Below are 22,200 nucleotides of genomic sequence, written 5' to 3' on the forward strand. Positions count from 1 at the left end.
ATAGCTTGAGCTAAGGAGTTTGAGACCAGCCTGCGCAACATGGCGAAACTCCTTTTCCACCAAAAAATACAAAAAATTTGCCGGGTGTGGTGGTACATGCCTATAGTCCCAGCTACTTGGGAGGCTGAGGTGGGAGGATTGCTTGAGCCTGGGAGGTGGAGGCTGCAGTGACCTGAGATCTCTCCACTCTAGCCTGGGTGACAGAGCGAGACCCCAACCCCCACCAAAACAAAAAACAAACAAAAAACTACAGCTGGAATACAGTAAATAAATGCTCTATAAGCATTCCTATTATAATTATTGTTGTTGTTGTTTTCGAAACATAAGGACTAAGGTGCTCTGGACTGAATTTGTGTTCCCCCAAATTCCTGTGTTGAAACCCTGCTCCCTAGTGTGATGGTATGAGGAGGTGAGGAGGTCATAGGCATGGAGCCCTCATGATAGGATTAGTGCCCTTATAAGAAGAGACTCTAGGCCGGGCGCGGTGGCTCACGCCTGTAATCCCAGCACTTTGGGAGGCCGAGGCAGGCAGATCACAAGGTCAGGAGATCGAGACCATCCTGGCTAACACGGTGAAACCCCATCTCTACTAAAAATACAAAAAATTAGCCGGGCGTGATGGCGGGCGCCTGTAGTCCCAGCTACTCGGGAGGCTGAGGCAGGAGAATGGCGTGAACCCGGGAGGCGGAGCTTGCAGTGAGCCGAGATCGCGCCCCAGCACTCCAGCCTGGGCGACAGAGCAAGACTCCGTCTCAAAAAAAAAAAAAAGAAGAGACTCTAGAGAGCTTGTTTCCTCCGTCTCTCCACTCTGTGTGAGGACACAGCAAGAAAACAGCCATTTGTGAACCAGGAAGTGGGCTCTCACCAGACACCAGATCTGCCAGCCAGTACCATGATTTCAGACCTCCCAGCCTCCAGAATTGTGAGAGAGAAACGTTTGTTGTTGAAGCCGCCCAGTCTACGGTATTCTGTAATAGCAGTCCGGACTGACTAAGACTTAGGCTTGGCAAGGTCAAATGGTTTTCCCAAGAGTGCAACAAGTGGCAAGGTGGGGAGCTACGGCCAGGGCTCCTGACTCATAGTATTCTTACTGGTCAAATATCTGCCTGTAAAAACTGGTTTTTAGCAACCGTAACAAGATATCGTGCTGCTAAAACGAAATAATCATGGTTTTGTTAAGTCTCAGGAAAAAGGTAATAGGTACGGTTTTCTCCATCTTAAATGTTTTCCCATGGAGTTCTAAGCTTTGGAGATTTGCTACTGCTTGCCTACTAGCACTTGCTGGTGCTTACAACCAAGCAAAGGCATTCACATACATTTTTTCTTTCTTTCTTTTTTTTTTTTTTTTGAGATGGAGTTTCGCTCTTGTTGCCCAGGCTGGAATGCAATGGCGCAACCTTGGCTCACTGCAACCTCCACCTCCCAGGTTCAAGCAATTCTCCTGCCTTAGCCTCCCAAGTAACTGGGATTACAGGCATCTGCCACCATGCCCAGCTAATTTTTGTATTTTTAGTAGAGACGGGGTTTCACCATGTTGGCCAGGCTGGTCTCGAAGTCCTGACCTCAGGTGATCTGCCTGTCTCAGCCTCCCAAAGTGCTGGGATTACAGGCGTGAGTCACCGCGCCCAGCCCACATACATTTCTTTCTTTCTTTCTGTTTTTTTGTTTGTTTTGAGACAGGGTCCTGTTCTGTCATCCAGGCTGGAGTGCAGTGGCATGATCAGAGCTCACTGTAGCCTTGACCTCCTGGACTTGAGTGATCCTCCTGCCTGAGCCTCCTGCCTGCGTCATCACACCCAGCTAATTTTTTTTTTTTTTTTTTGAGAAGGAGTCTCGCTCCGTCCTCCAGGCTGGAGTGTAGTGGCGTGATCTCAGGTCACTGCAAGCTCCGTGTCCCGGGTTCACGCCATTCTCCTGCCTCAGCCTCCCACGTAGCTGGGACTACAGGCGCCTGCCACCATGCCTGGCTAATTTTTTGTATTTAATTTTTGTATTTTTTAGAGGTGGGGTTTCACCATGTTGTCCAGGCTCATTCACATAAATATTAATAGGGAAAGCTCAAAAAATTAATTCATGACTGCCTATAACCCCTGCCTCCCTGCCTTAAAAACCCTTACCTATATGCCTCAGATCTTAAGCATAAGCTGCCTGATTCTCCTTGCTTGGCACCCTACAAATAAACACCCTGCTTTCTACCACTACAAGCCTCGATACAGATATTTGACCTTACTACACAGGGCAAGTAGACCCCAGTTCGGCTCGATAACACTCCCTTCCCTTTAAAAGGGGCAGGAGTAGTTCAACAGCTTTTTTGTTTTCATAAGTATCCAACCTTGTGGTTAATTGCATACTGGTATCATAGCTGTATTTTCTGTTCCTAGGTTGGATGAAGGAATCGGATACATAAGTAATTTGCAGCATTCCACAAATTCAGTAGAGGACACAATGACTTCTAGGTTTACCACCCTATGAATAAGGCCGAGGGCCCTTACCAACCACGCATAAGCCACAGTCATCCCTTACCAACCACGAATTCTACCAAATATAAATTGATTTTAGTACTCTTTTCCCATAATCATGCAAATTTCAGACCAAGTATATATGATCTGAGTTATTCTTGTAGGTGATAGTTAGAAAAGATGGAACCAGGAAGCTGGAAAGAGGAGAGGGGTGGTGTACAGGAGTACATACTTTTGCCATGCACCCACCCTAAGGCAACAGAAGCAAAAGAAACAGGTGTTGGAATTCTACTCCTGCCCCTTTTAAAGGGAGGGGAGTGTTATTGAGCCAAACTAGGGTCTACTTGCCCAGTGTAGTAAGGTCAAATATCTATATTGAGGCTTGTAGTGGGAGAAAGGGGGGCGTTTATTTTATTTATTTATTTATGACAGATTTTTGCTCTGTCTCCCAGACTGGAGTGCAATGGCGTGATCTCTGCTCACTGCAACCTCTGCCTCCTAGGTTCAAGCGATTCTCCTTCCTCAGCCACCCAAGTAGCTGGGATTCCAGGCGCGTGCCACCACGCCAGGCTAATTTTTTGTATTTCTAGTAGAGATGGGGTTTCACCATGTTGGCCAGGCTGGTCTCAAACTCCTGACCTCAGGTGATCTGGGGGTGTTTATTTGTAGGGTGTCAAGCAAGGAGAATCAGGCAGCTCATGCTTAAGACCCGAGGCTTACAGGTAAGGGTTTTTAAAGGCGGGAAGGCAGAGGTTATAGGCAGTCATAAATTAATATATGGAGGCTACATGCTGGCTTCTCATATAAAGGAGGACATCTCGATGTGAGGACCCATAGGTCATAGGTGGATTTAAAGATTTATTGATTTGTAATTGGTTAAAAAAGAGCTTTGTTTAAAGATTTGAGGTCAGTAGAAAAGAATGGTAGCTCTGGCTCGAGGGTGTGACTTTTTGTAGCCTGCTCAGGAAGAAGAAATTTAGAACAAAGAACAGTGGTTACAGTTTAGCCATCAGTTCTCCCTTATTTGAGGTTTAAGTGCCAGTGGATCCATTCGGTGGGGATCTGGGTTTCTGAAAAACAACCGAGGGATATATGCTCACATGTTATCTTTAGTTTTTGTTGTTGTTTTGTTTTTGTTTTTGTTTTGAGACAGTCTCGCTCTGTCCCCCAGGCTGGAGTGCAATGGTGCGATCTCAGCTAACTGCAACCTCCGTCTTCCAGGTTCAAGCGATTCTCCTGCCTCAGCTTCCCGAGTAGCTGGGTTTACAGGTGCCTGCCACCATGCTTAGCTAATTTTTGTATTTTTAGTAGAGACAGGGTTTCACCATATTGATCAGGCTGGTCTCGAACTCCTGACCTCAGGTGATCCACCCACCTCAGCCTCCCAAAGTGGTGGGATTACAGGCATGCACCACCACACCTGGCCATTATCATTAGTTTTTATAGGGAACACAAATATCTCATGACTTTAACTTTTTTGCTATTGTTTCTTTAATTAATTTTTTGCTTATTGTTCATTTTTAGGGCTAGTTAGGTGCCTGGAATTTATTATTTATTTATTTATTTTGAGACGGAGTCTCGCCCTGTCACCCAGGCTGGAGTGCAGTGGCTCGATCTTGGCTCACTGCAACCTCCGCCTCCCAGGTTCAAGCAATTCTCCTGCCTCAGCCTCCCAAGTAGCTGGGACTACAGGCGCATGCCACCATGCCCGGATAATTTTTGTACTTTTAGTAGAGACGGGGTTTCACCATCTTGGTGAGGCTGGTCTCGAACTCCTGACCTCCGGTGATCCACTCACCTCAGCCTCCCAAAGTGCTGAGATTACAGGCATGAGCCAGCATGCCCGGCCTGGAATTTTTTTTCAGTAACTCAATACTTTAAAATTTTTTATTTTATGTGGGGTTTGGTAGGCCTCTAAAGGGTTCCTGCTCCTTCTTAGGTGTTGTACCTAGGTTATGCTACTCTTATTTAATTAAAACAATATGGCAAAGCCAACACTATACAAGGGGACTTCAAAAAGTTCATGCAAAATGCATATTATGAAAAAAAACTATGTATGGATTTTAAGATGTTTTTGCACCAACATAAACGCACACTAACTTGTAACATGTCTAAACAGAACCTAGTTTGAGGCACGAAGAAGGATACTACATCAGTCTGAAAACAGTCTGGGCATGCCGGGCGTGGTGGCTCATGCCTGTAATCCTAGCACTTCGGGAGGCTGAGGCGGGTGGATCACAAGGTCAGGAGTTTGAGACCAGCCTGGCCAACATGGTGAAACTCTGTCTCTACTAAAAATACAAAAATTAGCTGGGCGTGGTGGCACGTGCCTGTAATCCCAGCTACTTGGGAGGCTGAGGCAGAAGAACTGCTTGAACCTGGGAGGCAGAGGTTGCAGTGAGCCAAGATCGTACCACTGCACTCCAGCCTGGGCAACAGAGTGACACTCTGCCTCAAAAAGAAAAAAAAAATTAAAAAATTAGCCAGGCATGGTGGTGCGTGCCTGTAGTCCCGGCTACTCAGGAGGCTGATGTGGGAGGATCGCTTGAGCTCAGAAGGTCGAGAATGCAGTGAGCCAAAATCTCACCACTGCACTCCAGCCTGGGTGACAGAGAATAGACCGTGTCTCAAAAAAACCAAAAAACAAAAAACAGAGGCCAGGCACAGTAGCTCATTACTGTAAATCCTAGCACTTTAGGAGGCTGAGGCGGGAGGATTACTTGAGGCCAGGAGTTCAAGACCACCCTGGCCAACAAAGTGAGACCCTGTCTCAATTTATTTTAAATGAAAATAGTAATTAATTTTTTTTTTTTTTAAGAAAATAGGCTGGGCACAGTGGCTCACTCCTGTAATTGCTCTTGGGAGGTCAAGGCGGGAAGATTGCTTGAGCTCAGGAATTTGAGACCAAACTGGGCAATATGGCAAAATCCCATGTGTACCAAAAATACAAAAATTAGCCAGGTGTGGTGGCAAGCCTGTAGTCTCAGCCACCTCAGAGGCTGAGGTGGGAGGATGGCTTGAGCCTGGAAGGCAGAGGCTACAGTGAGCTGAGATTGCGCCACTGCACTCCAGCCTGGGCAAAGGAGCAAATCCCTGTCTCAAAACAAAAAACAAAAAACCAAAAAACAAAAAACCTGTAAAGGGCACCCAATTTTCTTCAGTTAATAATATAAAAAAGACTGCATTGATATGGTTAAGTTCCCAGGACCCTCAGTTCCTTAAGGATGGACTACCTGGCTGGTATCATTGCTTACAAGAGTGTTGACCTTGATGAAGCTTATATTGAGAAATAAAGTTTATACTTTTAATTTTTATCTTCTAGTTCCATTTTTCCACAAACTTTTTGAAGTCCCTTTGTATAAATCAGTGAGTTTTGAGAAATGCCCAAGTGTGTATGTGGATTCTTTTTTTTTTTTTTTTTTTTTTTTGAGACAGGGTCTCACTCTTTCATCCAGGCTGGAGTACAGTGGCACAATCATGGCTCATTGCAGCCTTGACCTCCCAGGCTCAAGTGATCCTCCCACCTCAGCCTCCTGAGTAGCTGGGACTACAGGTGTATGCCACCACACCTGGCTAATTTTTGTATATTGTGTAGAGACAGTGTTTCACCATGTTGCCCAGGCTGGTCTCGAACTCCTGAGCAAAAGCCATCCACCCACCTTGGCCTCTCAAAGTGCTAGGACTATAGGCGTGAGCCTCCGCGCCCGGCCTATGTGGATTTTTTTTTTTTTTTTTTTTTTTTTGAGATGGAGTCTTGCTCTTTCACCCAGCCTGGAGTGCAGTGGCATGATTTCAGCTCACTGTAACCTCCGCCCCCTGGCTTCAGCCCCCCGAGTAGCTGGGATTACAGGTGCATGCCACCACGCCTGGCTAATTTTTGTATTTTTAGTAGAGACGGGGTTTCTCCATGTTGAACAGGCTGGTGTCGAACTCCTGACCTCAGGTGATCCACCCCTTGCCTTCCCAAAGTGCTGGGATTACAGGCGTAAGCCACCGTGCTGGCCGTGGATTTTTTGGTTAACTTTTTTTTTTTTCCCCTCAAGCATCTGAGTTAATCCAGAACTATAGTGGGGTCCTAGAAACTAGCCATAACATTAAAAAAAGTAATTTAAGATTCGGTAGAGAGCTGGTAAAATTATGTGAAACAGAATGAACCGAAATTACCACATGACACTGGAAATCAAAGGAGGGGACATTCTGCAGTATTTCTAGCTACTAAGCGATGGCAACTTAACACTCGCTGTATGGTTCTCTTCAGTTTGCAGCCTGTGTTTTATTTTTGTGAACCTGGTAACCAATGCTGATGAATGCCCATCCGAAAACCACTTCCAACTTCTTCTTCCTTGTCCACCTCCTACCAGAGGAGCGGAAAAAGCTAAAAATTCCATTTTGCAACCAGTCTGTGTGACCCAATCCTGTTCTAAGAGACACGCGGGGGTTCCTGTGGCAGGGAAGATTCTGGAAAAGATTTTTCTCCCTGATTTAAAGGAGAGAGACACATGAGAAGGGCCCTTTCGCACCTCCCTCCCTTCTTGATAGCACCCTCCTCTGGGTGCTATCGTGAGGATGTGATGCCTGGAGCGGTGGTAGCCCCCTTGAGATCAGATAAACCCCCAGCCTGAAGCTGAAAGCTGACACGTATAGGAAGGTAAGAAAGGAAAGACCAAAGGAGCTCCAATCCTTGTAGGCACTGTTGAGCTGCCAATCCAACCCTGAGGATCACCCATTTTAGATTTAAGAAACAGAAGTTCTTAGGTGTAAGCCACTGCTCATTTCACATTAACTGCAGTTGACAGCATCCACGGGATACAAATGTCAACAAAATACATGTAAGCGTTTTCATGAGGTCACTGTGTATCTTGATCCTCCAGGCCTCCATCTTTTCCTCACGAAGTCTGTTCAAATTTTCACAGAGATTCTTTTTTGTTTTGAGACAGAGTCTCACACTATTGCCTGGGCTGGAGTGCAACGGCATAATCTCTGCTCACTGCAACCTCTGCCTCCCGGGTTCAAGTGATTCTCCTGCCTCAGCCTCCCGAGTAGCTGGGATTACAGGCACCTGCCACCATGCCTGGCTTATTTTTTTGTATTTTTTAGTAGAGACGGGGTTTCACTATGTTGGCCAGGCTGGTCTTGAACTCCTGACCCTGTGATCCACCCACCTCAGCCTCCCAAAGAGTTGGGATTACAGGCATGAGCCACTGCGCCCGGCCTCACAGAGATTCTTGAGGTTAGAGAGAGACACTCTCTATTACAGCGCCCCTCAGAAGGCTGTGAGGTTCATGCACTCCATAAAATACTACACAAATGTAAAAGACAAATAGTAGCAAAATACTTCTGTGTTAGGAAAAGACACTGACTTTCATGCTGTAGGGGACAAGATGCTATGAAGCAACTGTGTCTTTTCCACTGGGGGAATGAACACTGTGAAGCCTGGAGGTGGCGGAGCAAGAAGTATTTTTAAAACCTTTGTTGTTAAGACGTTAACTGCAGAAATGCCACACTAAGCTGAAACCGGGAGTGCCTCTTCCTGGCTTTAACATTAAGCTGACCTGAACCTTCAGAATCATGGACAACCAATCAGAGTTTACCGAAACATAGAGTATGTGCAAAACAAAAAACAAACAAACAAACAAACAAAAAAATTAGTTTAAACTGAAAGGGCAAGTTGGGACCTTATAAAATGCCTACATGTTTCAACTACTCATTGCGGAAGGTGTTGCCTAAAAATACTTATCTGCAGATTTGTGATATATAAAAGAAGACCAAAATCTCACTGATCTCTATTTAAGGATGCTGATGCTTACACCTTGGTGGCTGACAGTGGCCACCCTCTGCAGTGTCCCAAAGGCCACCCTCCTTGGGTCCTTGGCAAGAACCTCCTACAGAAACTGCCGAGTTAAGGTGGAGACAAAATGGGCAGCGGAACAACTGGAGGAGATCTGCTGTGGGATGCCAGAGAGAAAGCTGTTTCTAGAAAATGCCTTTAAGACAATCTTCTTAGTTTTAAAGAAATCAGCCAGGCGCGGTGGCTCACGCCTGTAATCCTAGCACTTTGGGAGGCCGAGGTGGGTAGATCACCTGAGGTCAGGAGTTAGAGACCAGCCTGGCCAACATGGTGAAACCCCGTCTTTACTAAAAATACAAAATAATTAGCTGGGCGTGGTGGCGGGCACTTGTAATCCCAGTTACTCAGGAGGCTGAGGCAGGAGAATCGCTTGAATCCAGGAGGCAGAGGTTGTAGTGAGCCGAGATGGCGCCATTGTACGCCAGCCTGGGCGACAGAGCGAGACTCCGTCTCAAAAAAAAAAAAAAAAGAAAAAGAAATCATGGCTATGAGTGGTGGCTCACGCCTCTAATCTCAGCACTTTGGGAGGCTGAGGTGGGCGGATTACTTGAGGTCAGGAGTTCATGACCAGCCTGGCCAACATGGTGAAACTCCGTCTCTACAAAAAATACAAAAATTAGCCGGACGTGGTGGCAGGCGCCTGTAATCCCAGCTACTTGGGAGACTGAGGCAGAATTGCCTGAACCCGAGAGGCAGAGGTTGCAGTGAGCCGAGATCACAACACTGCACTCCAGCCTGGGCGACAAGAGCAAAACTCCATCTCAAAAAAAAAAAAAAAAAAAGGAAAAGAAAAAGAAATAAAAAACTCAAGGCAAAGAAAAGGTTTTTAGTTTGTTCCCCTACCACTGATGTGAAATGGGGACCTAGGGGAGATGTGGAAGGATGACTAAAATCTAACACATTGCCCACCATTTTTGAACTTGAAGGTTGAGTTTGCAAATCATTTACCGCCTTTGCCTACCTCATCTGCTAGTTGCCTTCTGGAAATTTTGCAGTTCCCCCTCAAGTCTAGTTATTTGATTCTAACTTTGGTACAAGATTTCTGGTTGGAGAAAATGAGATGTAACTGAAATTTCCAGGCTACCATTCATTCATTCACTTTAGATACAGGGTCTTGCTTTGTGGTCCAGGTTAGTCTCGAACTCCTGGCCTCAAGTGATCCTCCTGCCTTGGCCTCCCAAAGAGCTGGGATTACAGATGTGAGCCACCGTGCCCAGACCTGTATTTCATTTACCCCCTTTTCTGAGATGTTCCTTTCCTCTCCTCCTGAGCAGGTATTAATTACACTGAAGATCAACCCACACAGGCTGACTCAAGAAGAGCTCAATTTTTTGGAGGTGGGGAATTTGCTCAACAGGCCCTCAGGGAAGGTGAAGTGTGCATCCCTCTGAGGACCCTTCTGCTTCCTGTGACCCCAGCTGCTTGCTTTAGATATTTCCTTCCCAAGATTTTTCAGGGTGGAGCTCACTAATCATTAAGCTGTAAGGGGATGTACTGGGTGTTTCCTGCAGACACACAGGCTCTCTGTGCTTGAAGAAGTAGGTCTAGGAGGATTATGCCCTCCAGAGAAGAAGCAAAGGTAAGAGGTGCAGAGGGGAGTTCTCACAATGGCATTTTTTTGGTCCTTCCTGAACCTTGGTTACATAAGCCAAAAAAGGATATTCTTTTTTCTGCTCAAGCTAGCCTGATTTGGATTTCCATGAATCCTTATAGCTATTTTTATTTTATTTTGAGACAGGGTCTGGCTCTGTCACCCAGGCTGGAGTGCAGTGGCACAACCACAGCTCACTGCAGCCTCTACCTCCTGGGCTCAAGCCATCCTCCCATCTCAGCCTCCTGAGTAGCTAGGACTACAGGTGTGTGCCACCACATCCGGCTAATTTTTCTATTTTCTGTAGAGACAGGGTTTCACCATGTTAGCCAGGCTGGTCTCGAACTCCAGGACTCAAGTGACCCACCCGCCTTGGCCTCTCACAGTACTGGGATTACAGACAAGACCAACCGTGCCCGGCCAGATATTTTTTAAAATTGTGTATTTCTCAGCCAGGTGCAGTGGCTCATGCCTGTAGTACCAGCACTTGGGAGGCTGAGGCAGGAGGATGGCTTAAGCCTAGAAGTTTGAGACCAGCCTGGGCAACATAGTGAGACACCATCTCTGCAAAGAATAGAAAAAAAATTAGCTGGGTGTGGTGGCGCATGCCCGTGGTCCCAGCTACTTGGGTCCCAGGCTGAGGTGGGAGGATCGCTTGAGCCTGGGAGGTCGAGGCTGCCATGAGCAGTGACTGCGCCAATGCACTCCATCCAGCCTAGGCAATAGTAGTATCTTGTCTCAAAAGAAAAAAAAAAAAGAAAATTGTCTATTTCTAAAAACCTGTATTTAAACCTCATCATTTCCCCTCAAACAAGTAGCTTGTATAAAATTACTCATAACATGAACATGCTAAAGAAATTCTTTTGAATGATGAAAAGTTACTTTGTACATTATATTAAAATTTATTTTCTATGTATACCCAAATTTTCAAGTATTAGATTTACTTAGAAATTCACCAGTGTTATCATTATACAATTGGCTGGAATTAACAGTTGCAATACAGTTATTCTAGCTTTTCATATTCAATTTGAATGATCAGAAAAGTATATTAGTCACACAGAATTAAATATTTTAGATAGTAAGAATCTTACACTTTATTAGATAATAAAACATAATTGATATTTGCTTAAGTAACAAAAAAGTTAAGAAATTGGGTTATAAGCAAAGGAACATAAGTGTAAAATGTGTAGAAAGATAAATATTTTCCAAATAAAATTCTAATAAAAGGCTAAACATTCTCAAATATTTTACATACATGAAGAATAAATTATTTCTGGTTAACATGTTTTTGCCTTAGTGCCAAAAAAGCCAGAACAAATTTGATAAGCTCACATTAAAATCAAAGTTTTCTAGATATGAATTCTATATACCATCTCTATATTTGTTTAGAATTTTGCAAAATTCTTAGAAGATTGCATGTTAGGGTGGGGGAAGATAAATGCTTGCCAATACTGACATGGTTAATTAACAGACAGGCTTGAAAGGAGAAGGCTAGAAGAGGGAAGATTATGTCACTAAGCATAGCTACAAAAGGAAAAGCCACATGGAAGCAGAGACAAAGGCAATCCCGACACACAGAGGCATGTTTGTTGCGGCTCAGGGTTTCTGTTTTTCAAGTGTTCAGAGACGAATTCCAGCAAGACTTCTGGTTTGAGTCAAGCCTTTCAACCGAGGTGCTTGGCATACTTAACGGAAAAAGCGAGTACATTCAGATTTAGTTTTGCTAGATATTAAACTAGAAAACTGGATGACAGTAAAACCAATACAGAAACAAAAAGTCATGTTTCCAGTAAAGAACCGTACACACAAGCAGGTTTTGCTTATTAATGTAGCAGGAGAGCATGGAAATCGGAGTTCAGACTCTTTAGAAAAGACAAAAGGCAGGGGAGGGGAGAGAAGAAAAGGAGGAATGCAGAGAAGCCCTCCAAGAATGATGAGTGATTCGTGCAGGAGAGGGAAATACAGACGTTCCGTCCATGTGAGATTCTGCTTCAGGTATTGGACATCGTTCCCTCCACCTGCACCTAGAGGATATGTGTTCAGGATCTCGCTATGGTTAGTTACCCATGTGCTAGACATAGGTTGCTAGCTAGAAGTTTTGCCAGCCATCTTCCCCCCTCCTAGTGCTAATGCCTAATTTCCTAAAGTAATCTGAATCCTTATAAGCCAGGGTAGCTCAGGAGGTTCTATTTACTTATTTATTTATTTTGAGACAGAGTCTCACTGTGTCGCCCAGGCAGATCTCGTCTGGGCCCGAGTCTCGTTGCAGTGGTGTAATCTCTGCTCACTGCAACCTCTGCCTCCCAGGTTCATGCAATTTTCCTGTCTCAGCCTCCCGAGTAGCTAGGATTACAGGGGTGTGCCACCACGCCTGGCTAATTTTTCTATTTTTAGTAGCGAGAGCATTTCGTCATGTTGGCCAGTCTGGTCTCCAACTCCTGACCTCAGGTGATCTGCCTGCCTTGGCCTCCCAAAGTGCTGGGATTATAGGCATGAGCCACCGCACCCAGCATCAGTAAGTTTTAATATTACGTCTAGTCGGCTCACGGGTGCTTGAGCCAGAAGTGGGAAGGGTACACTTGTATTTTGGGCTCAAATGGTTTTCAAATAAAATACATCTGACCAAATAAAGTGAACACAGTCCTGAGCCCTCCTCTCTCCAGATATGCATGCAATCCACACCATCAAAAGAAGAGTTCACTGTTCCCAAGGCCAAGAAGAGGCTATGCTGTACTGCAAAGAACTCTATAGCAAAATCGAACACCCAAATTAAGTGCCAGAATGATGCAGCCCGCTCTCACCAGGAAGAACGACATGTGAGAAAACTTATAGCAGATGCAAAAATGTCAACCCACCATGTTATTTAAAAAAAAATTTTATCAGGATACAAGGACACTTCACTGTTTTTAACCCACACAAGGTTAGGTAATGTTTACCTTGAAACATAATCGCATATGGCCCTTTATGCCACTCACCTAGGCCTTTAATAATGAGGGCAATTGCTAAGTGTGCTGTCTCTTCTGGGGACTTCTCTCTGAAAGGGGGATGATATATTGATAAAATATTTTATTAATCAGTTAAGAATTTTTGATCTACTTGAAAAAGATTAAATTATAATATTTCACTTTGAAACTGCTATTGCTCATGCAAAAGTACTTGATTTTCATACTATATGGAGCTCACAATCTTTGGACTACACAAACATTCTCTAAAAGGGCAATGACTTATATTTTCCAAAGTTTAGACATGACATCCAAAGGACAAAAGGTAACTATTTTTTTTACCAATGTGGTTGGAACAGTGACAACGAGCAATGTATTCACCAAACTGATCAAAAAATCTGCCTGTGGTTCCTTCACTGTATGTGTGTGCAGAGAAAGGCAGAAAAGCTTCTATCCATGTCATTGTCTCTCTTGCCCATGTGCCAGTAATTTGAATAAGATGAGAATGGGCCAGGCGCAGCGGCTCACGCCTGTAATCCCACTACTTTGGGAGACCAAGGCGGGTGAATCACGAGGTCAGGAGTTAGAGACCAGCCTGGCCAACATGGTGAAACCTCATCTCTACTAAAAATACAAAAATTAGCTGGGCGTGGTGGTGGGCACCTGTAATCCCAGCTACTCAGGAGACTGAGGCAGGAGAATCGCTTGAACCCAGGAGGCAGAGGTTGCAGTGAGCAGAGATCACGACAATGCACTCCAGCCCTGCGACAGTGCGAGACTCCGTCTCAAAAAAAAAAAAAAGGTGAGAATGTGCTTTTCCAGAATAACCCCAGTTGTATCTAGAATTTGTTTTCAATATAAAGGCAGGTATGAGAATGTTTTGAACAACAGAATTAATCCATCTAGATTAGAATGCTGTGTGGCATGACCATTCTCGAATTTTGAAAGCCTGAGCTGGTTGTGGGCAAGGGGATATTCATTAATGACATAAATTTCATTTATGAAATATGTATCCATCATCTAGGTATCTTATACATGGAGAGCTGACTGCATCCCTTGTATAAAAAGTAAATGAAGACCGGAAGGAAGCAGACTTTGTCCTGCAAACTGAAGCAAAGTTCCATGCTAAGAATCAGCAGGTTTTCTAGGTAGGTAATGCCACCAGTGGAGGATTATTACAGTTCTCAAATCATGAGGGAAAGAGATGGAGAAGAGGGAGGGAGGAGGGAAAATCTTGCATTCTAAGAGGTAAGAGTCCCCATTACAATTGCAATGCTTCTTTAGACAGCTGATTTTTCTGGCTGGAAGGCACATTAAAAATAACCCTAACAATAACTTACCAAGACAATGGAAATCAAAAGAAAAGAAGGTAGACGTGCAGCTGTCTTATTAACATGACAACCAACTACAGCTGAAACAATACTATGGTACAGGGACTAGCTCATGTTAAAGACTGGTTATTTAGGTAAAGAGGATCTGGTGCTCTTGGTTTAGCTTCAGTGATTTTCCAGCACTTATTAAAGCCATTGTGCCCTGAACATGGAGACCCCCAAATCCTCTATGTGCCAAAGATTAAGTTGTAGAGAATTACATCAATGTTTGCTGTTGGTGTGCACCACAGATGAGACCAAGCTTCCTGGTCCGGCTAAGTGGAATCTTCCATGCACTGTGCACCACTCAGCTAGAAAGTCAACTAAGCAGAAAGGAGATAAGGAATGGCTATGGAATACCTGACTTCTTTATCTTGGTTATGTGTCCACAATTTTCATAAAAATAAATAATACACATTAAGTCAAAATCTGGGCTCAAATGTGTAACAAGAAAACAAAAGGACAACAATCTGGTATTCCGGTTTTTTTTTTTTTTTTGAGACGGAGTCTCGCTCTGTTGCCCAGGCTGGAGTGCAGTGACGTGATCTCGGCTCACTACAAGCTCCGCCTCCCAGGTTCACACCTTAGCCTCCCGAGTAGCTGGGACTACAGGCGCCCGCCACCACGCCCGCCTAATGTTTTAATTTTTTAGTAGAGACGGGGTTTCACCGTGTTGGCCAGGCTGGTCTCGAACTCCTGACCTCAGGTAATCCACCTGCCTCAGCCTCCCAAAGTGCTGGAATTACAGGTGTGAGCCACCGCACCCAGCCAACAATCTGGTATTCTTAAGGCAAAACAGTAGAAATCACTTTAAATAGACACTTTATTAGATCCACAGGCGATAAAATCCCAGAGCTACTGTTAGGCACGTAAATATAGACCCTGTAAGAAAAAAACAATTGAGAGTACTATTAGTTCTATTAAGAGTTACTTGAGGGAACATCTTTTTTTAAGAAAACCTAAAAAAGAAAACCTAGAAACTTAGATTGCTCACTGATGTCCCATATTCCGTGAAACGCCTGCCTACTGAAAAAACAAATCCCACACCCTTTATTTTATTTTCTTATTTTAGAGACATGGTCTCATCTGGTACCCAGGAGGAGTGCACCATGCAATGGTATGATTACAGCTCACTGTGCCTCAAACTCCCGGGCTCAAGTGACCCTCCTGCCTCAGCCTCCCAAGAAGCTGAAGCTACAGGCAGATGACACCATGCCCGGCTAAATCTTTTTGTAGAGACTAGGTCTCGCTGTGTTGCCTAGGCTAAGAAAACTTTTCAATAAAAGTTTCGAATAGCAAAAATTCTGTGGTCACAAGGTCTATGTATATGCACTATAGAGACAGGAAGACACAATTTAATATAAAGAACAACATTTCACTGTTAAATAATGCTGTAACCTTAAAATATTTAATTAATCCAAGACGTTAAATCTGACTTGAAATAATGGTTAATTTGGGTGGGGGGTGGTACATGAATGTTCATTCTCTCTTTTGGATCAAAAATCGCGAAAGTAAAATAACTCCTTAAAAGGAGTTTAAGCAATTGAAGCAGAAAGATTACAACTGAAACACCTTCCATTTTATCCATAAAATATTTCCTGTCTTGAATCTCATTAAAATCCCTAATAACTATAGTTCAATTATAGTATCTTATCAAATTTCCAATTCTATCAATTATAACGTACACAATTACTTTATTTACTACTAAGAAAGAAAAAGTGCCAATTAAACTATGATACTTCATCTACTGGAAATTGTAAGATGCTTTCCAATTTCAGAGATGTTAAAATATTTCAGAAAGTGTTGGAATCAATGAAATGCAGTATCTGTCAACGACTTATTTTATAAATTTATTTTCTTTTCAGGTTGATTTAAATAGATACAAAATAGCTTACCTGCTAAATATTTAATATTATCAAGCTTGTGTGACTCAAGCATGGTTTTGAGGCCAGCAACCTCAGTTTCGATCTTCCTGTCTGTCTGGGTAAGGGCCCGATCTTGCTGGGCATGCTTTTAAAATGAAGAGAGTCACAGCGTTAGACCACAGCACGTCCCCTCTGCTCACCATCCTATAGCTCCTTCCCAACGGGGTGCAGTCACAGGGAAACCTGGGTAAGACTATGGAGGCCTGGGCTTTAGTCTCAGTTCTAAAACCCTAATTCTACGCTGCATTGGTCAGGACCCTTAACCTCTCTAGGCCTTAGTTTTCTTCTATTTGAAAAAATGAAAACAGAACAAAACGAAACAACCAAGCCAGTGGCCCTGCCTTTACCTGGACTGTTTAGAGAATCAAATGCGATAATCTATGTGAAAAAGCATTTGTAAGCTCTAGGTTGCTATACAAATGATGTGGTATTATGAGGCCAGTCTGTTCTCAAAGGCAACGGCTACGTCTCATCCTTCTAAATCCTCCTTAGTCAAAGATAGACAGTAAACTCAAAAATGTTTTCAAGAAATGGAGTCTTAGATAATGTGAAAGCGGCAGTGCTTGTCTTGAGCTATTTCTAGTCATATTTTTAAAAAACTTTCTTCTTTCATGTTCAAATATCAAGTGTTTCATTACTATGAGGCTTGGCTACCCACGGCCAATTTGTGTCCTTCCCCAAATACAATACAGTTAAACTGGACACATAATCAACCCTCAAAAAGGCAGTGGGTTTGGCCGACGCTATAGGGGGTTGTAGAACTGCATTAAAGCATAAAAACCATGGGAATCCTTCACTAAAACTCCTACAGCAACTAAATCTTTCCCTATGGCTACCAATTCAGGCAGAGAAAAAAAGAAATAAATGCCTGGATGCGTAAAAAAGTATTCCAGAGAAATATCCCAGGATTCTGGAATTCTCTCATGAAAGCCTCTTGGGGGTTTCAGAGGTCCCAGGTTCCATACAGTATGGAAAAGGAGAAATGTATGCTATAAATTAAAAATAGAATAAGACTTCTCCATTCCTCACTATTCTTCAATTACTGAGATTTAAACTTTCTTAATAAAACTTCCGTTAAGAAAAACAAACTCTCAAGTAGGGCATGGTGGTGTGAGCCTGTGGTCCCAGCTACTCTACAGGCTGAGGTGAAGGAGGGTGCAGTGAGCTGAGATTGAGCCACTGCACTCCAGCCTGGGTGACAGAGCGAGACCCCACCTCAAAAAAAAAAAAAAAAAAAAAGAAAGAAGAAAAGGAAACTTTCATTAAGAAAGTTTAAATCTTTCATAGGATAACTATCTTCCATTACGATAACCAAACACTTTGTGAAGTGCAAAAAATCCTGTGACACTCCACTTCTGCATATATACCCAAAAGAACTGAAAGCAGGGATCCCAACAGACATCTGTGCACCCATGCCCACAGCAGCACTATTCACAAAGGCCAACGGGTGGAAGCAACACAAGTGCCCTTGACAGACGAATAAAGAAAATGTGGCATATACATATAATGGAATACTAATCAGCCTTAAAAAGGAAGAAAGTCCTGTCATTTCAACAACATGGATGAACCTTCAGGACACTGTGTTAAGTGAAATAAGCCAGCCACAAAAAGACAAATGCTATGATTCTATTTATATGAGGTATGTAGAATAGTCAAATCCATAGACAGTAGAATGGAGGTCACCAGAGGCTGGAAAAGGGAATGTATAAAGGGTGCAGAGTTTCAATTTTGCAAAATAAAGAGTTCTGTGATAGCCAGTGGCGATGGTTGCCCCAAAATGTGAATGTACTTTAAATGTACTGAACTGTACACTTAAAAAATGGTTAAGATCCTAATTTTTATGTTGTGTGTATTTTAGCACAATGTAAAAAATTCCCATGACAGTAAACCTGCATGTAACTTCCTATTATCATTACAAACAACCATGCATGGAACGAAGCAAAGATGAGTACAAAGACAAAGAAAAATCACAGTCTTGTTTCTTACCAATGCCACTATTTCTGTTCTCAATTCCAGCAGCTTCTTTTCGTTCAATGAATACTGAAATAAACACGTAACATGGGTCAGATTCTGATCTACTCCTCTCTCTTCTCCTTCTCTGGTGCCTTAAATATTCTGGTCTCAGTACCTCCTAGAATACGTAACACCAGAAAGTCACCTCTGGGATTAAGTAGCCTACCTGCTTCTTTATATGTGTTACTTGAGGTTTCTTTTTTTTTTTTTTCCATAGAGATGGGGCTTTGCCATGTTGCCCAGGCTGGTCTCAAACTTCTGAGCTCGAGCAATCTGCCCACCTCGGCCTCCCAAGGTGCTGGGATTACAAGCATGACCTGCCGTGCTGGCTAAAGTTTCTTATTTATACTTACTCATTCCTCTAATATCTGGATTTCCTTAGTCATCTGTCACTTCTCCCTGCATATTTCCTGTGATGTCTTTAGGTCCCTCCCACTATTGTAGTAGCACTCCCTGGGGACCAATTTCGAAGGATGCTGAGTCATATGGTTTTTGGTTTTGAGAGGGTTGAAAATGGAGACTCAACTCAATTTAGGAGCTATCCCATCATAACTAGTAGCAAAACACGTCACTACTTGAGTCTCAACAAAAGACAGAAAAGGTATGAAGTTGGGGAACAAATAGCTGCCAAGGATTATTATTCTATGACAAAGACATTGTGTTGTGATTATAAAATACAATGTAAATACATAAATACACTAACTCATCACATGTTGGGTTTTTTTTTTTTTGGCTTGGTTTTTTGTTTTGAGATGGAGTCTCACTCTATTCCCAGGCTGGAGTGCAGTGGCTTGATCTGGGGTCCCTGCAACCTCTGCCTCCCAGGTTCAAGCAATTCTCCTGCCTTAGCCTCCTGCACATGTTGGTTTTAATAACAATAAAAAAACCCACTTGGGCGTAGCCATAATCCAGCGTTACTAAAGGAACTAATTCTACCCAGAGTTAAAGTATCTCGCCTTTTGGCTATTAATGTCAGTGAAAAGATTTAGTGCAGTTTTGTAGACAGTAAGATTGAAATCAGACTTATCTCCTTAGTAGTGGGCAACAAGATTTAATTGAGCATATGACAATCAGTAATTTGAATGACGACTTTTAAGAACTACATTAACCTTGTTATAGAAAGAAAAAGTTAATCCTTTGAAGTATATAGAAACTTCCTAGCTATAAAATATTCTCCTGGGACTACTGGGAGCTTAGAAGTAGAAAAAAAAAAAAGAAAAAAAAGAGAAAGAGAAACAAAAACAAAAACAAAAAACCCCAAAACCCTAAGCCAAGGAGTAGGTTGTAAAACCAAGAACAATGCTCTTTAAACCTCAGGGTTTCAGACCAGGAGAGCCCGATGCATCAGATCACCACTAGAGGGCGGCGTGGAACAAGATTTTGTGCACCACTAAACCTCAGTCTTCATTAACTCAACATTGACTCACCCACAAAAGAAGAGCCTAAATATTGACGCTGTCATGGTTTTAAAAATAACATCTATGTAGCTCTATATCCCCATGCCCCAGAAGTTTATATGCCATACTGCTTTTGGAACTGGCTGTAAATATCATAGTTAATTTGCAATTTAATATTTAACATTATAACTTTACCGAAAGAACGAGAGCCAGAAAACTCATCTTCACCAATGCATGTTACAAACACACTCGCTGTATAATTTACTACTGCCTTGTGCTTCAGAGTAATCCAAGTTTATGATTACCAAGAACAACCTCCCCGCTAGGTTACTAAATGACATAAATTCACTGGCTTGATGGGAGCTAAGCTATGATGCAAAGGCAAAAGGATGATACAGTGGACTTTGAGGACTTGGGGGAAAGGGTAGGAGGTGGGTGAGGGGCAAGACTACACATTGGGTACAGTGTACGCTGCTAGGGTGATGGGGGCACCAAAAATCTCAGAAATCACCTCTAAATAACGTCTTCATGTAACCAAACACCACCTGTTCCCCCAAAACCCACTGAAATTAAAATAATGAAACACTAAAAAAAGACTATAAGAACAATTCATAGTCACAGTTACTGTTCAAATATACCACAGACACTTTTGTGTCATGTAGAAAAAGTTACTATCATGATGGACAGGATTTAATTGAAACTCTGTGCATTGGTTGCTTTCTGGAGATTAAGGTCAATATAGTCATTCCAGATAAAGTAATTACATGTAAATCATATTTATCAGCATATTTAACTAGTAAATTCAAGTAAAATAAAATCAGGGTAAGTATTTTGAGTGCTGCATTATCAAGTCTGCAAAATATTATAAGCTTTACTTTTCTTATAAGAACACTGAATGAATCCACTCTATATATCCAATAATTTAAAAATATGAGTATTTGCAAGAATGAAATTTCATCATTTTTTTTCTTTTCTTTTTTTTTTTTTTGAGACAGGGTCTCACTCTGTCACCCAGGCTGGAGTGCAGTGGCGTGATCTCGGCTCACTGCAATCTCTGCCTCCTGGGTTCAAATGATTCTTCTGCCTCAGTCTCCCGAGTAGCTGAGACTACAGGTGGGCCATCACGCTGGGCTAATTTTTGTATTTTTGGTAGAGACAGGGTTTCACCACGTTGGCCAGGCTGGCCTCGAACTCCTGACCTCAGGTGATCCACCCACCTTGACCTCCCAAAGTGCTGGGATTACAGGTGTGAGCCACCATGCCCGGCAGAAATTTTTTCATTTTGGTTTAAAGACTAAAACTGTAATTGTGAAAAAAATTTCTGGAAAATTTTTGTTTGCTGGATGATGTTAATGACTTAAAATGAGTAAAATCTAAATGTTACATGATTGAAAAATGTACATATATATCAGCCTAGTTATGTTATTAAAATGACTCCATATAAAATTTTAAAAAAATTCACTGGCTTTAATCTACATTCATGCCCTGTATTTCCTGATGTCCTTGATGTAGTTTTTCCCAGGTTGGTTAGCTACACACAGTCATTTTCCTATATCAAGTGAATTCAGTTCTTCCTGAGTATACAACCCATAAAGATAAAGGTAACCAAAAGAGTTTCTCCTCTTCCAGACACCAGTGACATGCTATAGTCAGTAACTATTTAGTAACACTAGGTGATTTAATCTTTATGGGTGGAGACTGTTGTTGTAAGACTAGAAAGACAGGTAACACAGCCTTAATAATTATTTTGTATAACGAAGCTTGGATTAACTCTTGAAATCCAGTGGCAGTTCCAAAACACAAGTAGGTTACTTTTTTGAGTTTCAGTATTAGCTTCACTTATCATTATAGCACATTTTATCTAAAAGCAAATTGTCAAAAATGAGAAAACAACAAACAGTTGTGAGTACTCAGTTTCTGCATGTGTATTCAGTTTTGTGTTAGTGCAAGATGCTCTCTCTGCCCTATTTCTCATTATGCTAAGAATAAAAAAGGCACCTGATGTTACCAAATTCAAATAAAGTCTGAGCAAGAAGACGGCTGAATATTCAGACAGGGTTAAAAATCACTAGAGGCAACCCGACACATATCTTTATTAAAACACACTTAGGCCGGGCGCGGTGGCTCACTCCAGTAATCCCAGCACTTTGGAAGGCCGAGGTGGGCGGATCACGAGGTCAGGAGATCGACACCATCCTGGCTAACACGGTGAAACCCCGTCTCTACTAAAAATACAAAAAATTAGCTGGGCGTGGTGGCAGGGGCCTGTAGTCCCAGCTACTCTGGAGGCTGAGGCAGGAGAATGACGTGAACCCGGGAGGCGAAGCTTGCAGTGAGCTGAGATCACACCACTGCACTCCAGCCTGGGTGACAGAGCGAGACTCCGCCTCAAACAAAAACAAAGAAAAAAAAAACACACTTGCCGGCCAGGCGCAGTGGCTCACTCCAGTGATCCCAGCACTTTAGGAGGACAAGGTGGGCAGATCACTTGAGGTTAGGAGTTTGAGACCAGCCTGGCCAACATGGTGAAACCCTGTCTCTACTAAAAATATAAAAACTAGCCAGGTGTGGTGGTGGCGTCTGTAATCCCAGCTACTCGGGAGGCTGAGGCAGGAGAATTGCTTAAACCCAGGAGACGGAGGTTGCAGTGGGCAG

At 42.9% G+C, this 22,200-nt stretch overlaps 1 protein-coding gene across 4 annotated transcripts in view, besides 2 other annotated features; it reads right to left on the reverse strand.

Annotated features, from left to right (window-relative positions):
• Window positions 1-10,784: 10,784 nt before the first annotated feature.
• MCUR1 (mitochondrial calcium uniporter regulator 1) overlaps window positions 10,785-22,200 on the reverse strand; it is a 28,001-nt gene continuing 16,585 nt past the window's right edge. For 2 of the 4 annotated variants that reach the window (NM_001031713.4, XM_047419249.1), the window contains exons 7-9: window positions 18,122-18,175; window positions 16,106-16,220; window positions 10,785-15,092 (exon numbers count right to left, since the gene is read on the reverse strand). In NM_001031713.4, the coding sequence (NP_001026883.1) occupies window positions 15,037-15,092; window positions 16,106-16,220; window positions 18,122-18,175 (225 nt within the window). In that variant the 3' untranslated portion in view covers window positions 10,785-15,036. Of the gene's footprint in view, window positions 15,093-16,105; window positions 16,221-18,121; window positions 18,267-22,200 lie in introns of all 4 variants that reach the window. The other 2 variants (XM_011514802.2, XR_007059329.1) reach the window with 2 other exon arrangements.
• Window positions 11,880-12,712: an enhancer, noted in NCBI's record as "H3K27ac-H3K4me1 hESC enhancer chr6:13787884-13788716 (GRCh37/hg19 assembly coordinates)". NCBI's record gives its function as "activates a minimal SCP1, AML or CMV promoter by ChIP-STARR-seq in naive H9 embryonic stem cells {active_cell/tissue: H9 hESC(naive)}" and the evidence as "EXISTENCE:reporter gene assay evidence [ECO:0000049][PMID:30033119]".
• Window positions 13,381-13,549: a silencer, noted in NCBI's record as "fragment chr6:13789385-13789553 (GRCh37/hg19 assembly coordinates)". NCBI's record gives its function as "represses an EF-1alpha promoter that drives an FKBP-Casp9 reporter gene in an ReSE screen in both phorbol 12-myristate 13-acetate-treated (for megakaryocytic differentiation) and untreated K562 erythroleukemia cells {active_cell/tissue: K562 | K562(+PMA)}" and the evidence as "EXISTENCE:reporter gene assay evidence [ECO:0000049][PMID:32094911]".

The sequence above is a fragment of the Homo sapiens genome, chromosome 6 (genome assembly GCF_000001405.40).
Source record: "Homo sapiens chromosome 6, GRCh38.p14 Primary Assembly".
Classification (NCBI taxonomy): domain Eukaryota; kingdom Metazoa; phylum Chordata; class Mammalia; order Primates; family Hominidae; genus Homo; species Homo sapiens.